General features: G+C 41.7%; 2 protein-coding genes across 3 annotated transcripts in view; both read right to left on the reverse strand.

Annotated features, from left to right (window-relative positions):
• The window catches only part of MYH3 (myosin heavy chain 3), a 49,886-nt gene extending 43,942 nt beyond the window's left edge, over positions 1-5,944 (reverse strand). For both annotated transcript variants that reach the window (XM_011523870.4, XM_047436127.1), the window contains exon 1: positions 5,797-5,944. The gene's annotated coding sequence lies outside the window, so the exon portion shown is untranslated. The remainder of the gene's footprint in view (positions 1-5,796) is intronic.
• Positions 1-12,531, reverse strand: part of SCO1 (synthesis of cytochrome C oxidase 1) — a 25,060-nt gene continuing 12,529 nt past the window's right edge. The window contains exon 6 of the mRNA NM_004589.4: positions 1-8,780. Within this exon, the coding sequence (NP_004580.1) occupies positions 8,646-8,780 (135 nt within the window). The 3' untranslated portion in view covers positions 1-8,645. The remainder of the gene's footprint in view (positions 8,781-12,531) is intronic.

A 12,531-nucleotide genomic window follows, 5' to 3' on the forward strand; every position in this document is an offset into this window, starting at 1 on the left:
TAATTTTTAAGTAAGGTTTATTGAGGTATGTATATTACAATTCACCCTTTTAAAGTGCGCAGTTCAGTGAGTTTTCACAGATGTATGCAGTTGTGCAGCGACCACTACCAAGACACAGATCATTTTTACCACTTCCCCAAATCCCCTCCTGCCCCTGGCAATCATTTGCCACTGCAATATTATTAGGCCTGTGTTGAAGACTTAAGTCAGGAGAAAACTGACATATTTACATTGAGTCTTCTCACCAAGGAACAAACTATTTTCTTAATTAATAGCTCATCATTTTTTCCAAAATTTTATAATTTTCTTCCCCTGGATCTGAGTCATTATTACATTGATTCTATTTATTATAGATTCTGTGTGGTTATTGTGAATTTAGTAATTTTTAAATACAGTAGGCATTGATTTTTGCATATTTACAACTGGATGCTGAGTAGATACATAAAACACTCAAAAGAGAGTTGAAGTTTAGGTGCACTAGTTGGCACTTTGGGGCCTCATGTCTAAAAGCTGCCCTAATTTTTCTTTTTTTTCTTTTTTTTTTTTTTTGAGATGGAGTCTTGCCCTGTTGCCAGGCTGGAGTGCAGTGGCATGACCTCAGCTCAGTGCAATCTCTGCCTCCCGGGTTCAAGCGATTCTCCTGCCTCAGCCTCCTGAGTAGCTGGGACTACAGGCGCCCGCCACCACGTCTAGCTGATTTTTGTAATTTTAGTAGAGATGGGGTTTCACCATGTTGGCCAGGATGATCTCGATCTCTTGATCTCGTGATCTGCCTTTTCTTTATCTTGTCTGGTTATGTGCATCCCAGAGGCACTCTCCAGGGCCTACTTTTTATATCCCTCGTACTCAGCTTAACATAGGTATTCCGCAATGTTGACGTCGTCAATCAATCAGTGAATGACTGTCTTGTGCTGTGATCCCGCACGTTCCCGACAGGGCTTTCTGAATGTACGGGGCTGAGGCTGGTACAGGGAAAAGTGAGCCATACAAAGGCCTGCCCTGCTTCGGGCACTGAACGCTTGCCTGTCTCCGTTAGGAATGGAATGTAATCCTTGCAGGGCTCTCTGCCCCACTTTCTTCTGTAACTAAGACGGCCTTAGCAGAGCCTGGGCTGACAGGGAAGCAGGCAGTTAGTCTCTCAGTCTATTGCATCAGTGGTTCTCAGCAGCCTACTGCACTAGGGCCAACAGAGATCAAATGATCCTCAATCAGGTTTCAATTGAGTATTTGAGAATGCCTACATGGAAAGACTGCACTGAGCCCCGATAAGGCCCCACAGGGTAACCAAGCAGCATCTCTCCCTGCTTTTTGATCATATTATAACAACTCGATGGAGAAACGCTTGGTATACTGTGCTGAATAGAAGTTCTGACAGGGAGTGACAGTCGTCTTTGACAAAAATTTCAAAAGTGGGGCAATTAAATAATTATCAGAAAATGGAATTTGTTTATTTGAGAGACTCTTCAAATTGTGTTTCATGGGAGCGAAATTAAATAAAGAGCTTCCTGGAGGGGGAAAGATTACTTAATTCATTATTCTTTCTTGACTTTTTCCCCTTCCCTATTGGGTAAAAATTAATAGACTCTGTGGTATTGGGGGTTGAGGAGAATCCATGTGCCTAAGACTGAGGTGGGGATCTTGTTAAAATACAGACTGTGGGCCAGGCGTGGTGGCTCACATCTGTAATCCCCAGTACTTTGGGAGGCCAAGGCGGGTGGATCACCTGAGGTCAGGAGTTCAAGACCAGCCTGGCCAACATGGCGAGATCCTGTTTCTACTAAAAATACAAAAATTACCATGCACGCCACCGGGCATGGTGGCGGGCGCCTGTAATCCCAGCTACTTGGGAGGCTGAGGCAGCAGAATCACTTGAACCAGGGAGGTGGAGGTTGCAGTGAGCCAAGATCGCACCACTGCTCTCCAGCCTAGGCAACAAGAGCGAAACTCCATCTCAAAACAAACAAACAAACAAACAAAAAAACAGACTGTGATTGAGGAGAGCTGGAGTGGAGCCTGAGAAGCTGCATTTCTGCTAAGTACCCCAGTGGTGTGACACTGCCGGACCACAGACTACACTGAGTAGCAAGGCTGTAGAGGGAGTCTGAGTATTAGCTTTGCTACAAACTTGTAGATAATTCACCACTTGGGCCCTTCTTCCTCTATACAGTGAGGACATACCAGATGGTGTGTGACACGTCTGACATTGTGATGGCGAAACCACCTCAAGGTCCTCACGAAACCTTGGTGGCCAAGGCCCTTGGTATGACCTCTTGAGACCAGGAGGCTCTCACAGGCATCTACAGAGCTCAGCCTTGGCCCCTTACCTTTGCATCATCCTTGAATGGAAAAAGGATCACGGGCTGCCAACTGCAGACCCACCCAGGAATACTTCAGATGGCTCAAACACAGTGGTAATGTCCCTGGCTTACTCCATCAAAATGCAGTGAGCATCATCAGAGTGGTCCGGAGCTTGACTGACAACGACCAGCTGCTGCTCACCACAGCAGCCAACAAGGAATGTGCCCACTCTCCCCTTCAGTTTGCTCCTCCTCAGTGTCAGGGTCCCAGGGCCCTAGAAGTCTCTAAAAGCCACTGAGCAAACTTCTTTGCCTCTCAAAGCTGTGGCAACTTTAGGTCCGTCCTCCAGCTTAGGGGTGACTAGAGCGATTGATTTCCTGCCCCTTCAACTGAGGGTGAGAAGACACTGTCTCTGGGGCCTAAGTGTGGCTACTCTGCTCTGCCACACCACACCTGAGGCCCACTCTCCTACCATCTGCCTCCTGCTGTTGCTGAAGCTTGCTGACACTTTCTCCACGCTGTCTTCTTTCAGGCCTTCTCTCGCCTGGGCAACCTGATGCTGGCATTAGCTTTTATCTCTCTGCCCAAGCTACAGCAAATTGCTGAGAGCTGTCCAATGCATTCTCCACATCACAGACTTGCTTTCTTTCAAGACTGCCTTTTGCAGGGACTCTTTTTCCCCTCTACTTTTCTTTTGGAGTTATAGGGTGCAAACAGTAAAAGGCATAAATCTTAAGTTCAAAGTTTAATATGTTTTTATGTATGTAAATCATCACCCAGATCAAGCTACTGAACATTTCAATGGCTCTGGAAGCTCTCCTGGCACCCCCTTCTGAATTACTAACCATCTCACCTCCTGCCAGAGTTAAGCACTATTCTGACTTTTAACACGATGGGTTAGTTTTCCCTGTTCTCCTAGTATCATACTTCATCCTAACACAATTATTCCTGTTTTACAAATTTAAAGAAAAAAAACACCCAACAACGAGGACAAATGCGTTAGTCTTTTTAAACTGGTCCAACCTGAATAACGCCACCCTATGTTTAAGAATGGGAAGAGAGGCTTGGCGGGGAGGGTTGTCTTTCCCTAGGGTTGTGTCTTCCTTGAACTGGGTGCAAACATGGACAAAGTCACATGTATGACATGGAGACAACACATCCCCACAACGAACTGCATCATAGCTCCTTGAAATCAAAGGACCAAATTATAAACGAGTTTACACTGACTGGATATTTGATATTAAGCAAAAACCAAACGACAAAATCCAAGAGCAAAAACAAAAACCTTTTTGCTGTGCTGATGAAACTGTGGTTGTTTTTTTCTTTCTTTCTTTTTTGTTTTTTGAGACAACTCTTGTTGCCCAGGCTGGAGTGCAGTGGCGTGATCTCGGCTCACTGCAACCTCCGCCTCCCAGATTCACACGATTCTCCTACCTCAGCCTCCCGAGTAGCTGGGATTACAGGCACCCGCCACCACGCCCGGCTAACTTTGGTATTTTTAGTAGAGACGGGTTTCTCCATGTTGGTCAGGCCAGTCTCGAACTCTCAACCTCAGGTGATCCACCCGCCTTTGCTTCCCAAAGTACTGGGATTACAGGCATGAGCCACCGTGCCCAGCCAACTGTGGTTGTTTTTAAAGGACAAAGTTGGTCTCTTTCAGAGGCACATGCTGGGAATGGGCTGGGGTGGCAGTGGGTGGGGGGGTGCAGACAAAATTAAATGGTGGTAATCACTGAAGCTTGCTGATGGGTACATCAATTAGTTAACTATTCTACTTTTTGAATAAGTTTCCAAATTTTCACAATAAAAAGGAAAAAAAGAAAACTCAAGTTTTCTTTCGGTTAAATACCCACATCAATGTTCTCATGAAATAGTGCACAGAGTCAGTGACTTTAAGGCCCCTTATGAGGGGGACATTAGCATCCTCATGTTGAAGATTGAAAGGAAATACCTCCAAGTATTATTTCTTGGTAGTGGAACAACAGTGATTGAAAATTTTCTTCCTTCAACTTTTCTGTATGCCAAACTTTCTTTACTGAGGATATAGTATAATTACGGAAGAAGAGCCAACAAACTTTCAAATACATTGGAAAAGTATATAGAAAATAATTACCCCTATAAGGTCTAAAGGTGTTATTAAGGAATATGTGGCTAAAGAGGCTATTACTTGAATCTTGTTAATGAATAGAAATAACCGTCCATTTTGTTACACAGTAATATAACCCCTAACTGGTAAGTAAAAAGCACAAACTAGGCCGGGCGCAGTGGCTCACGCGTGTAATCCCAGCACTTTGGGAGGCCAAGGCGGGCGGATCACCTGAGGTTGAGAGTTCGAGACCAGCCTGACCAACATGGAGAAACCCGTCTCTACTAAAAATACAAAAATTTAGCTGGGTGTGCTGGTGGGCGCCTGTAATCCCAGCTACTCGGGAGACTCAGGCTGGAGAATCGCTTGAACCTGGGAGGCGGAGGTTGCAGTGAGCCAAGATTATGCCATTATTGCATTCCAGCCTGCGTGAGAAGAGCGAGACTCCATCTCAAAAAGAAACAAATAACAACAACAAAATAAAAACCAAAAAAAAGTACAAACTAATTGGGTAACAAATGCTCGCATGGGTGACTGCTCTTTTAAAGGTAGCTCATATACACATACACAAAGATTTAAATGGTACTAAACAGAAAACCAAAAAAGGTTTGGGAGATTATGGATGATTTGAAAATATTAATGTCAATTTCTTTTAAACATAAATTTAAGAACAATAAAAGCTATTTTAAAGGATCTTATGCAGACGCATTTACAATTTAAAATCATTAGCCTCCCAACTCGCATATTTTACTGGTAGTCAGTAAATCTCACCTCTTACACTTAAGATATCAGCTGCTTCATGAACAGCCAGACACATGAATACATTCATGCCTACTGCATTGATAGGATTCTTATACTTTTCAAATAAACAAGTGGCATTTCTTAAAATATTAATTCTATTGAAGAGTCTAGTGAAAACACTGTAACCCACCCAGGTAAAGATTTGCAAGGGATATTTCACTGAAACACAGCCTTGAGGCCGGGCGTGGTGGCTCACACCTGTAATCCCAGCACTTTGGGAGGCCGAGGCGGCGGATCACCTGAGGTCGGGAGTTTGAGACCAGTCTGACCAACATAGAGAAACCCAGTCTCTACTAAAAATACAAAATTAGCCGGGTGTGGTGGCACATGCTTGTAATCCCAGCTACTTGGGAGGCTGAGGCAGGAGAATTGCTTGAACCTGGGAGGTGGAGGTTGCAGTGAGCTGAGATTGCGCCATTGCACTCCAGCCTGGGCAACAAGAGTGAAACTCTGTCTCAAAAAAGAAAAGAAAAAAAAAACAGCCTTGCTTTTGATTTCCCAAGATTTGCAGCTGAAAAACGTTGCCCCACTGGCATACGGAACCTCCGTTTTGGTTGGATTCACACAGTCACCATAAGCGCACGATAGCAGCAGAACAAACAGGAACCTACCTAGAAATTGGGACCCGAGTTTTGCGCCTTAATTCTCCGAGACTGTCCCCTTGTGCATAAACAGGAACATCTGGAAGACGTCACCTCTAAGGTCCCCTTCCCCACTTCTAACATTCTGACTTCAAGCCTTTAAACTTGACACTAGAATGAAGAACAAATAAAAGTTTTCTCCAAAAGCTGCTGTTCCCTTTTTGGATCATTTCACAAGCCTTAACCTGCAACAGCTGAGAACGAAGACTGAATCTTATCTAAGAGCAAACTTGCTGCAAAGGGATCCACACAAATGTTTTGTGGCTTAAAACAGATAATCTTTTTAAAGATTTGGCCTTTGAGATACTTAATATCTCTTTTGTTAAATGAGAATAGTCTTTTAGTAAGTTCCTTTCTTGACCAGATTCCTAGGAAAGTCATTCTAAACCAACTGCTTCCGAGCTGGTTTCTATAAACTAAATCTTGCAGTTGTTTATTAAGGAACAGGCTATTGTATTAGCTTGCTAGGACTGCCTTACCAGGTTTGGTGGCTAAAACAACAGACATTTATTTCCTCACAGTTCTGGAGCTTGGAAGGCAAAAATCAAGGAGTCAGCAGGGTTTGTTTTTTTTTTTTTTTCTCACAACTTCTCTCTTGGCTTGTAAGATGGCTGTTTTCTCTCTGGCTTCTCATGGTCGTCTCACTGTGTCTCCTATTCTTTTTGAGACGGAGTCTTGCTCTGTCGCCCAGGCTGGAGTACGATGGCGCAATCTTGCCTCACTGCCACCTCTGCCTCCTGGGTTCAAGCGATTCTCCTGCCTCAGCCTCCGGAGTAACTGAGATTACAGGCACCCGCTACCATGCCCGGCTAATTTTTGTATTTTTAGGAGAGAGACGACGTTTCACCATGTTGGCCAGGCTGGTCTCGAACTCCTGACCTTAGGTGATCTGCACGCCTCGGCCTCCCAAAGTGCTGGGATTACAGGCATAAGCCACTGTGCCCAGCTAATCTATTATTTTAAGAACACCAGTCATATAGAATTAGGGCCAACCTAGCAGCCTCATTTTAATTTAACTATCTCTCTAAAGACCCTATCTCCAATTACAGTCACATTCTGAAGTACTGAGATTAGGGCTTCAATGTATAAATTTTGGGGGACATTATTCAACCTATAACTAGCATAGTTTTTTTTCACATACTTTTACTTTGATATATTTAGGTTTAAGTATTGAGAATTTAAAAACCAAAAGACCTCTATCATGTGCGTGTAGAAACATATCATGTAAAAAGAATCTGTTGTCTATCTAGGCATTATATTTGTTGCATCTTAGGATTTACTGAAAAACTTTTGGAGAACTTTGCCCCTAGGGCAGCAGCTTCTGGCAGAAAAAGGCCAAACCCAGGATTCTAGGGCAGTTAAATTTAGAAACAAAAGCCAAGATTCATTCTATCACTCAATAATCATTTTCTTCAATGGCTGACACACCAAAAGAAGGGTCAAATTTATTTATTTTTAAATTCATTTTAATTTCTGTATCTCTACATAGATATATCTAGAGGGTCTCACTCTGTTGCCCAGGCTGGAATGCAGTGGTGTGATTATAGCTCACTGAAGCCTTGAATTCCTGGGCTCAAGTGATACTCCATTTCAGTCTCCTGAGTAGCCAGGACTACAGGCATGTGCCACCATGCCAAAAAAATCTTCTGTAGAGATGGGGGCGGGGGGGGGGGGTCTCACTATGTTGCCCAGGCTTGTCTTGAATACCTAACCTCTAGCAATCCTCAGGCCCTGGCCTCCCAAAGTTTTGGGATTATAGGCATTAGCCATTGTGCCAGGCAAGTTATTTCCCCAAAAAACACTTTCTTAAGGGATGGTCCCAGTCCGCCAGCATCCGAGTCACCTGGGGTATCTGTCATGGAAGCAGGTCTCTGCATCATACTGCAGATTCAGTGAATTCAGCTCTGGGTCTGGGGAACTGCACTTCAGCAAGCGTCCCACCCACCTGCCCGCTGGAGCCTGTGGGTCTCTTTCCTGAGAACTGTGTGCAGCCATCTATGTACCCACTCATCACCCATGAAAAAGATCACGCTTGTCTGAACAGCAAAACTGAGTATGTTTACTTTACACAAAGTACAATCCAGTATATGCAGAAAGGTACTCAGCATCACACTCGTGATCAATATCCTCTTATTTCCATTTGGTATGTCACTGAAAACCTGGCACACCACTTAGCTAAAAATCACATAAAAGAACCCCTAGAGAAATCAAACTGATGTTTTTTTTCCCCCAAACAATAGATTTCCTCTTCATTAGTCAAATCTGATAGTGATATTCATTAATAAGGAAAACTAAAGTTTTCAAGCATCAACTCTGAATGGCAGAGACCCTAATCTGACTGTTATTAGCCACCAAGAACTCAGAAGAGCAAAGAACTCAAGAAGAGGCAAGCAAGAGCACTATGGAAATTATATTCTTTTCTGTGAAATTCAGTCCCACAGCTATTTGAGCAAGGGCCCAAGACGATGGAGAGGCGGCAAAGCTGCTGGGAGGGCCTGTTCGCAGGCAGGAATGCACTGGCTGTGCCTCGCCCCGCCATGTCCTTCCACAGGTGGGCTCTTCACTGGCTTCACTTCAGCTTGATCCTCTGGTCTCCCCACAGCTTCCTGGGAGACTTTGGGTTGTAATCTTTACAGTTCCAAGAATCAATTTTGGTTGAACGCAAGGGTAACATCCCCATCCAAAACAGAAATGTTCTCATGGTATGAAGGCCATTCTGTAGAGTGCACGTATATATGTTTATATTTATATAGGCTCCTATGCGAGACAGTTTCCTTCCTCTTAGCAAGAGAATACTGCATCCAGCAACACTGCTTTGGCTAGCTCTTTTTTCTGTATGGCCTCATGTGTGTGGCAATTGAAGCAGCTATTTCTCCCTTCCTCTTGTTCTGGCCAAAATAATCTAGAAACTCACCATCTGGTCCAATCAAGTACATTATTATTGTGTGATCCACCTGCAGAGAAAAGGGGGGAGAGTGTGACAAAGATTACCAAAATAAGCTGCTTATTTTACTGAATGTATGCTGCAAGATAAGAGAACTTTACATTAATGCTTAAATAACCTTTACAGCATCTATTATTTATGGAATAGGCTTAAGTCTATCATAGCAAATTCCTAACAAAAATTGTCTAAAATCTTTTGTGTCCTAAACATCTGCACTGGTTATTGCTTGTCACATCAGCTAGAACCTGAAATTCTTTTGGTTTAATCCTTAACATATTTACCCACACACTCTGAGAAAAGAATTCACCTTCTAAGAAATAGCTGCTGCAGGCTTTCATAAAGCAGTCAATGTTTGTGGAATAGCAATGCTTGTTGAAAAATACCTTCATTTTTGAGTAAGATATCTCCTCAGACCCTAAACATGTTACAAACAGACATCACATGGAATTAAGTGTTGGTGAAAAACTGCTTTCTTTAGTAAGTTCTTGGGTTTATTCATGTTTTAGAAAGAACTGGTTGTCATTCATTACTGCCAAAATTCTGCTTACCACGCTTTATGAGAAGAAATCAGAAAACTAATCATTAGTTTAAATAATCTATAAATTTGAACAATATTTAGTTTTAATATTAGTAATTCAAACAGAAACAGGAAAAGAAACATTTTTCTCCCCAAGGAAATTTTTGTCTCCTCCACTGAATAATCCTATCTGAAATCAATCCATCACCTGGAAAGCAAATCCTCGGGAGCATAAATGCTGCCCCCCTAACCAGAGAGTCATCGTAAACTCAGCATCCATTTTCCCAGCAAAGTCCTAAAATGGTCCCAGCTCTAACTTTAACTTAGATTAGTCATCAGATTTTTTAGTTAGACACTTCCATAAAATCCAATTTTAAGTGAGATTTGGCACTTAGAGTCCTTGGAATTTATTGCAGGCTTGACTGCTATTTGGCAAGACAAAGAAAGACAGGAATGTGACTACAAATACCAAACTGGAGACACCTCCCAAACATACCCCAGCACGCACTATATGTCTGTGAGGGTATTATTTTTTATACACACATTCTTAAGATAGCAAATGGAAAGAGCACTTGCCTACCCACATAAGGAAAGAATGTACACCAAAAGAGCGCCAACAACTGGATTCCAAGTGCTGTGGGATAGTTCACCGCAGGAGCAAGACGGGGGGCTACGTTTCTCCACATATTTGATACAGAAATCAGAATTAAGTCTCCAGTTCTCTCTTCAAGCCTTACTCTGTAGCTTACATCACTCTTTCTCCCTATTTCTTCCTTTTCTCTATTCTCTGTTAAAAAAAACAAACTACAGTATGTGGGACTTATTTTCTGAGTGTTCTTAATATAAATTACCTTGTAGTACACAACAAAAATATTATTTTATCTGTATCTGTCGAACTTGTCAGAGGTCACTCCTCAATATTCCTTTGGGTTGTGACAGAGCACATTGACATTTATTCTAATACAGAGGTCTACAGAGGTCTTCCAAGTTCTAGTACTTCCTTGTATAGAAAAAGGACACTAGCATTAACTGACAAATTCTTTCACATGTCATCTTAAGCCATGAAACAGGTATTCTCCTCCTCTTCAAATGATATCACAGGCTGGAGAGAGTAAATTATATAATTGGTAAGTGCCAGGCCTAACTTTAAAACCTAGAATCTGTCCAGTTTCAAAGTCCACAAACTTTTATCACCACGTTGCCTCTAGCTCCAATTCTAATGGAGAGCAGCAACTCAGTTTTTCTAGTGTGCAAGTTACGTTTTAGTGTGAATTATTTTTTGAAAAGGTAATATATGCACATAGAAAACGAATATCCAGTTAATGTATACAATGAAAATGTCCCTCCCCCTCTTCACACCCAGAGTGCCTCAGTTCCCCTTAGAGTGAACCAATGCCATCAGTTCCTTCTGTATCCTTCCGAAGAAATTCTCTGCATCTACTATGTGTATATATCCACTACCACTTATTTTTTTTATACACAAGTAACAATATATTCTACAGTACTTGCTTTCTCATTTAACAATATATTGGACATTGTTCTACGTTAGATTATACACAGTAGTTAAAAAATGGTTACTGGATTTTCAGTTTTTTCTCTTTAAAAACAATGCCATAGGGTATATTTATAGGATAAAGTCCAAAAAGTAGAATCTCTTGCATAAAAAGTATATAACTTTAAATGTGAGAAATACTGTTAAACTGCCCTCTGAAGAGGGTGTATGAGTTTAATTCCTATCAACAATGCATGAGTGTGCCTGCTGTTCCAAATTCACTCCTGCAGTTTATTTCCTGCTTTTCCAATTTCGACAATATATTTTCAGATTTTCTGACCACTGCTGAGCCAAGAGAAAAATGTTACCTCATTATACAATTCACATTTCTTTTATTATGAAACTGCACATTTAGGTTTGAAAGCTATTTGTATTCTTTTTTCAAAAGTATTTTCTAACTAATATCTATATAATAATATAGTATTATATATATATAATACAATAATGTGCAGATCCAGCTTTCTATGGAATTCCAAATATTTGGTATACCCAGTTCGATCACTCTGAAGAGTCCACTCAAAAGCCAGAAGCTTGCCTGTTGTTGCTGTCGTTTGGGATTAAGAAAACTTCATTCCATTACATCTCAACATTAACCTTAAAGGTACCCCCTTACTTCCTGCAGGTCCTTAAATGATAACAGAAGTTTCCCAAACCATCCTATGGATGAAAATCTGTGACCTCAAGGGACTGAAGTCATACTAATGAAAAACCTAAGAAGCTGAAGAATGTCTCCCCCTATTGGATGATTTAGCAAATGTACAGCATGAATTCCTCATCGAATCTCATCAAAAGTCAAATTCTTATGGCAGTAGGCCAGTATTTCTCAAAATGGGGCCAAAGATACATTCTACAAGGTCCAAGAAGTTTCCATAAGACTTACATATTTTTGTTTTCATTTGTAATTAAAAACATTAATATCCATATTCTGGATTATCTGTGTTGTGAGTATAAATTTCAGTGCCCAGGCTTGTGTTTGCTCCATGATCTCACTGGCACCTAGCTGCCCACTGCTGTTACAGGCAGACATGAATATGATACATTCTTGCCAAATCAACACTAACCAGGCAAGGCAGGCTACACGATTAAAGGTTTCAAAGTATTTTAAATAGAAAATGCAGAGGGGCAGTTGAGTAGAGTTGGGTATGTGATAGCAGTCTGACCAAAACCCCCTCCCTTCTTGCCCTGAGCAGCACTTTGGTTTCAGCAAAATCTCTTGTCAATGTAACTGAATGTTTTCAATTTAAGTTTTGCAGGCTGTTTGGGTTTATTTGTACAACTGCTTTCTGATTTGACTTTCTGACTCTGAGTTATGAGTTCTAAGCATCAAGACTATGGAGTGTTACCTAGTTTAGGACTGTATACATTTAAACAATTTAATATAACTCATTTAATGCTGGAAATCAGACTGATGAGCTCATCTATTCCTGCTGTCATCATCGGATAAACTCAAAACCAGTTAATACAACTCTCTATAAAGACAGAAGTCCGGAAAGTCCTTTTCCTATGGTTTCCTCTTTTGGCCACTGTGGCTCTCTGCTCTTCTCTCATTCTGCTAGAGAAGCAGCAAGAGGAAAACAGAGGAGGGTCCCTCTACTTTCCTTACAATTAAGGCTTAAAGAAAAGTGCTCATTTTTCTCATCTTTTACTCCAAGGAATCCAAGTTTCCCTAATTCTACGAGGCACCACATCTGG

This window comes from Homo sapiens, chromosome 17 (assembly GCF_000001405.40).
Source record: "Homo sapiens chromosome 17, GRCh38.p14 Primary Assembly".
NCBI classification, from domain to species: Eukaryota; Metazoa; Chordata; class Mammalia; order Primates; family Hominidae; genus Homo; species Homo sapiens.